The sequence below is a fragment of the Homo sapiens genome, chromosome 14 (genome assembly GCF_000001405.40).
Source record: "Homo sapiens chromosome 14, GRCh38.p14 Primary Assembly".
Taxonomy (NCBI): domain Eukaryota; kingdom Metazoa; phylum Chordata; class Mammalia; order Primates; family Hominidae; genus Homo; species Homo sapiens.
The window spans coordinates 23,579,257-23,585,884 of NC_000014.9; the positions used below are offsets into that span (position 1 = coordinate 23,579,257).

The 6,628-nt window shown below is 51.4% G+C and overlaps 1 annotated feature.

Annotated features, from left to right (window-relative positions):
* Positions 5,890-6,389: an enhancer, noted in NCBI's record as "H3K27ac-H3K4me1 hESC enhancer chr14:24054355-24054854 (GRCh37/hg19 assembly coordinates)". NCBI's record gives its function as "activates a minimal SCP1, AML or CMV promoter by ChIP-STARR-seq in naive H9 embryonic stem cells {active_cell/tissue: H9 hESC(naive)}" and the evidence as "EXISTENCE:reporter gene assay evidence [ECO:0000049][PMID:30033119]".

Here is a 6,628-nt window from a genome sequence, read left to right on the forward strand (position 1 = left end):
AGGGAGAAGGATGAACCTGTCAGCTGCTTGGACTGAAGCCAAAAAGCTTTGGGGCATGGATGCGGGTGTCCACTGAGTCCACTATCCTCCGGAAGAAAGCACTGGAGGGGGACCAGGAGGCTCACGCTCTTGCACTTTCTGAAGATGCCTGAAATGGGACCCTGCTAGGAACCCTGGCCCCATCAATGCTTCTCCAGGCCTCCCCATCCTCCATCCCCACCACCCATTTCTCTCTGGGTTGTCCCTCTGAAGGAGAAGGGGGTGTATTGCTTCTGAATGGGGAGGAGGGCATCATGCTTGGTGATGGCATGAAGATCCCAGGGCTTTAGAATCTTTTCTTTTGCAAATCTAGAGGCAAAGACATATAGACATGTTTGAGAGGGCCCTTATTATGGCAAGGCCCCCTCTAGCCCACCACCCCTCTGTCCTGTCTGTCCTCTCACCAGAGGGCCAGCACATCCTGACCTTGCTGTTTACAGACAGAAGTAGGCACACACTGTCTTCCCTCTCCCCTTAGTTTACTTAGACTCTGCATCTAGTTCTATCCCTGCCTCTAAGCCTTTTTAGGAAGGAGGACACTGTGTCCAATTACACACAACAGAGTACATAGTCAAATGCACTAAATTGCCCCTATTTTCATACACAGCTTGGTCCACCACTCCTCCCCCACTGCATTCCCATTTTACAGAGAAGAGAACTAAGGCCCAGAGGGGAAGTCATTCACCAGAGGTGAATGACAACAGAACTGGCAGAGCTAGCAGTAGAACACTAGACTTCAGACCATTTGAGCCCTGTAATTCCTGCCAGGATTCCATGAACTTGGGGACCCTCCCTTAGGCTCAGGGCCTCCATTTTGAGTACTCTGGTAAAATAAAGAGCATGAGGTTTGGAATAAATAGGGATTTCTCTTGCATCGTGTCTTCCCACAATTTACATGAGGTTGGAGAAATGTAAAATTTAAGCCTCCAGGAAAGGGACCACATCTTCTAAGTGCTTAGCATAGAACAGGTCAGCTGTGGGTCCACTTGGGGCATGACTGTTGATGGAGAGTTTATTCATTTATTCATTCACTCATTTCTCTATTCATCAAGTATCTACATAGTTTACTGTGTACCACCCACATAGCCAGGTGCTAGAGACACAGTGGTGAACACTGTGAGGCCTGCCCTCATGGAGTTTACTACTGTTGAGAGGTGACAGAGTGCTGGCAGCCCTCGCAGCCCTCGCAGCCCTCGCTTGCTCTTGGCACCTCCTCAACCTTGGCGCCCACTCTGGCCAGGCTTGAGGAGCCCTTCAGCCCGCAGCTGCACTGTGGGAGCCCCTTCCTGGGATGGCTGAGGTTGGAGCCGGCTCCCTCAGCTTGCCGGGACGTGTGGAGGGAGAGGCACGGGCGGGAACTGGGTGAGTGTGGGCTTGGCGGCCCTGCACTCAGAGCGGCCAGCTGGCCCCGCCGGCGCTGGGCAGTGAGGGGCTTAGCACTCAGGCCAGCAGCTGCAGAGGGTGCGCCTGGTCCCCCAACAGTTTCGGCTTACTGGCGCTGTGCTGGATTTCTCGTCGGGCCTTAGCTGCGTCCCTGCAGGGCAGGGCTCGGGACCTGCAGCCGGCCATGCCTGAGCCCCCCTCACACCACCCCACCCCCCCTCACCCCACTCCTCTCACCCCATCCCCCCACCCCACTCCCCTCACCCTACCCCCCCACCTCACCCCCCTACCCCACCCCCCTCACCCCCCTACCCTAACCCCCCTCACCCCCCTACCCCCACTCCCTCCTCCCCCCCTCCCCCGGCCGTGGGCTCCTGTGCCTCCCCAAGGAGCTCTGCCCCCTGCTCAGCGGAGCCCTGTCCCATCCACCACCCAAGCGCTGAGGAGTGCGGGCTGAGGAGTGCGGGCGCAGGGGCAGGACTGGCAGGCAGCTCCACCTGCGGCCTGGTGGGGGATCCACTGGGTGAAGCCAGCTGGGCTCCTGAGTCTAGTGGAGGCTTGGAGAACCTTTATGTCTTGCTAAGGGATTGTAAATACACCAATCGGCACTCTGTATCTAGCTCAAGGTCTGTGAACACACCAATCAGCACTCTGTGTCTAGCTCAAAGTTTGTAAATGCACCAGTCAGCACCCTGTGTCTAGCTCAAGGTTTGTAAATGCACCAATCTGCGCTCTGTGTCTAGCTGATCTGGTGGGGACTTGGAGAACCTGTATGTCTAGCTAAGGGATTGTGAATACACCAATTGGCACTCTGTATCTAGCTCAAGGTTTGTAAATGCACCAATCAGCACTCTGTATCTAGCTAATCTAGTGAGGACTTGGAGAACTTTTGTGTCTAGCTCAGGGATTGTAAATGCACCAGTCAGCTCCCTGTCAAAAAGGACTAATCAGCTCTCTGTAAAACAGACCAGTCGGCTCTCTGTAAAATGGACCAATCAGCAGGATGTGGGTGAGGCCAGATAAGAGATTAAAAGCAGGCTGCCCCAGCCTGCCGTGGCAATCGGGTAGGGTCCCCTTCCAGAGGGTGGAAGCTTTGTTCTTTCGCTCTTTGCAATAAATCCTGCTGCTGTTGGCTGTTTGGGTCCACACTGCCTTTATGAGCTGTAACAGTCACCGTGAAGGTCTGCAGCTTCATTTCTGAAGCCAGCGAGACCACGAACCAACCAGAAGGAAGAGACTCCGAACACATCCGAACATCAGAAGGAACAAACTCTGGACGCGCCGCCTTTAAGAACTGTAACACTCATCGCCGTCTCTACTAAAAATACAAAAAATTAGCCGGGCTTGGTGGCAGGCGCCTGTAGTCCCAGCTACTCGGGAGGCTGAGGCAGGAGAATGGTGTGAACCTGGGAGGCGGAGCTTGCAGTGAGCCGAGATTGTGCCACTGCACGCCAGCCTGGGCGACAGAGCAAGACTCCGTCTCAAAAAAAAAAAAAAAAAAAAAAACTGTAACACTCCACGGGAGGGTCCGCGAATTCTTTCTTGAAGTCAGTGAGACCAAGAACCCACAAATTCTGGACACACCTTGTAGTAAAGGCAGGCAACCAACAAGAAACTCTAGTGTGGTTAGTGCCACATCAAGTTTGTGGGGTGGGAGTAGAGAATAGGGATGGAATCCACCTGAGGCTGGTGCTCTAAAGAAAGAGGCATTTAAGATGAATCCAGAAGGGAGTTCTGGGGCAGGCCAAGCTGTGTTGCTCACCTCTAGATATTCAGCCTAGGGTGTCAACCTTTCCTTCTCCACACAGAGCCTTGTCCCACTCCACCCCTAAAATTCCCCTTTTCTCCAAGCAAAAGGGAAAACAAGAAAAGAAAAACCAACCTATGGTCCTGGAACACCCGTGCCTTGTTTCTTAGGGAGAAGAGGTGACAGGGTGTGATGCCTTGTTGGAAGCTATACTGTATTCTGAGCTGCAAATTAAGTGTAGGGTCCAATGAAGTCCCGAAGAAATCTCTGACAGAAGTACTCCCAGAATGTGGGATGCACAGTCCCAGCGCCCCCATGTCTCCCTGAGTGAGCCAGCCTTCCAGCCCCTTTCTTTTCTGTCCCTACAGGCTCTACAGTTCCCTCCTTCAGGGCAGGGGCACTTTTTTTTTTCAGAGAGTGCACTGGTTTGTTTTGCCACAATTTACCAACATTCAGGTGTCAGAGAAACGGGAAGTAATGTTTGAAGGAGCAGCTCTGTGCTAGGAGCCAGGTACTGTGCTTGGCGCGCAATCTGTATGACCTCATTCCATCCTCACAGCAAAACTGTCACTGTGAGCAGTCCAGGCTGGAGGCCTGGAGCTAGGTGTCCAAAGATGGTCAGACTTATGTCTGAATTCTGACTCTATCTGCCACCTACTAGTTGGGTGAACCTGAGCATATCACCTAACTTTTCTGAGCTGCAGTTTGTTTATCTCTAAAATAGGATTATGATAATCTACTCCATGCCTTATTTTGAGGATCAAAATGATCATGTATGAAGTGTAAGTATGCATAATATGTATAATATAGGAGGGAAAACCACTTGGCATAGTGTCCAGCACATAGTGAGTGCCCAGTAAATAATGGCTTGAAAAATAGATTGGCATTATGCCAGTTTTATAGGTGAGAAATCTGGGACCCAGCAGTTAATTTGCTTAATGTTGCCCAGCTAATAGATGGCAGCCCTTGGAGCTTGATATATATCAGACTCCCAAGTTAATATGCTTTAACAAATGCAATTTTGGGGGTCCTGTTTATAAAACATGCTCATTGTAGAATAAGAAAATACAGCATATCAAGAATAAAAATTAAAACCACCCCTAGTCTCACTGTATAACAGTTTAGTATATTTTTATATAGTCTTCTATGTACTTTTAACATAATTAAAAACAGTGCATATACAATTTTGTATCCTACTTATTCACTTAGTTTTCATTGTAAGCATTTTTTTTTATTATACTTTAAGTTCTGGGGTACATGTGCAGAAGGTGCAGGTTTGTTACATAGGTATACACGTGCCATGGTGGTTTGCTGCACCCATCAACCCATCACCTACATTAGGTATTTCTCCTAATGCTGTCCGTCCCATAGCCCCCCACCCCCCTACAGGCCACAGTGTGTGATATTACCCTTCCTGTGTCCATGTGTTCTCCTTGTTCAACTCCCACTTATGAGTGAGAACATGCAGTGTTTGTGTGTCCGGCGTTGGTGGGTTCTTGGTCTCACTGACTTCAAGAATGAAGCCGCGGACCCTCGTGGTGAGTGTTACAGCTCTTAAGGTGGCGCGTCTGAAGTTTGTTCCTTCTGATGTTCAGATGTGCTCTGAGTTTCTTCCTTCTGGTGGGTTCGTGGTCTCGCTGGCTCAGGAGTGAAGCTGCAGACCTTCGCGGTGAGTGTTACAGCTCTTAAGGTAGCGCGTCTGGAGTTGTTCGTTCCTCCTGGTGGGCTCGTTGTCTCGCTGGGTTCAGGAGTGAAGCTGCAGATCTTCACGGTGAGTGTTACAGCTCATAAAAGGAGCGTGGACCCAAAGCGTGAGCAGTAGCAAGATTTATTGCAAAGAGTGAAAGAACAAAGCTTCCACAGTGTGGAAGGGGACCCGAGCGGGTTGCCAATGCTGGCTCGGGCAGCCTGCTTTTATTCTCTTATCTGGCCCCACCCACATCCTGCTGATTGGTAGAGCTGAGTGGCCTGTTTTGTCAGGGTGCTGATTGGTGCGTTTACAATCCCTGAGCTAGATATAAAGACTCCACGTCCCCATCAGATTAGTTAGATACAGAGTTTCAACACACAGGTTCTCCAAGGCCCCACCAGAGCAGCTAGATACAGAGTGTCGATTGGTGCACTCACAAACCTTCAGCTAAACACAGGGTGCTGATTGGTGTGTTTACAAACCTTGAGATAGATACAGAGTGCCGATTGGTGTATTTACAATCCTTGAGCTAGACATAAAGGTTCTCCATGTCCTCACCAGAGCAGCTAGATACAGAGTGTCGATTGGTGCACTCACAAACCTTGAGCTAAACACAGAGTGCTGATTGGTGTATTTACAATCCCTGAGCTAGATATAAAGACTCTCCACGTCCCCACCAGACTCAGGAGCCCAGCTGGCTTCACCTAGTGGATCCTGCACCGGGGCTGCAGGTGGAGCTGCCTGCCAGTCCTGCACCGTGTGCTCGCATTCCTCAGCCCTTGGGTGGTCGATGGGACTGGGCGCAGTGGAGCAGGGGGTGGTGCTCGTCGGGGAGGCTCGGGCCGCACAGGAAACCATGGAGTGGGTGGGAGGCTCAGGCATGGCGGGCTGCAGGTCCCGAGTCCTGCCCCATGGGAAGGCAGCTAAGGCCCTGGCAAGAAATCGAGCGCAGCGCCGGTGGGCCAGCACTGCTGGGGGACTCAGTACACCCTCCGCAGCCACTGGCCCGGGTGCTAAGTCCCCCATTGCCCGGGGCCAGCAGGGCTGGCTGGTTGCTCCGAGTGCGGGGCCCGCCAAGCCCACGCCCACCCGGAACTCCAGCTGGCCCACAAGCGCCGCATGCAGCCCCGGTTCCCACTGGTGCCTCTCCCTCCACACCTCCCTGCAAGCTGAGGGAGTGGGCTCCGGCCTTGGCCAGCCCAGAAAGGGGCTCCCACAGTGCAGTGGGGGGCTGAAGGGCTCCTCAAATGCCACCAAAGTGGGAGCCCAGGCAGGGGAGGTGCCGAGAGCAAGCGAGGGCTCTGAGGACTGCCAGCATGCTGTCACCTCTCATTTGGTTTTCTGTTCTTGTGATAGTTTGCTGAGAATGATGGTTTCCAGCTTCATCTATGTCCCTGCAAAGGACATGAACTCATCCTTTTTTTATGGCTGCATAGTATTCCATGGTGTATATGTACCACATTTTCTTTATCCATTCTATCATTCATGGACATTCAGGTTGGTTCCAAGTCTTTGCTATTGTGAATAGTGCCGCAATAAACATATGTGTGCATGTGTCTTTATAGTAGAATGATTTATAATCCTTTGGGTATATACCCAGTAATGGGATTGCTAGGTCAAATGGTATTTCTGGTTCTAGATCCTTGAGGAATCGCCACACTGTCTTCCACGATGTTTGAACTAATTTACACTCCCACCAACAGTGTAAAAGTGTTCCTATTTCTCCACATCCTCTCCAGCATCTGTTGTTTCCTGACTTTTTAATGTTT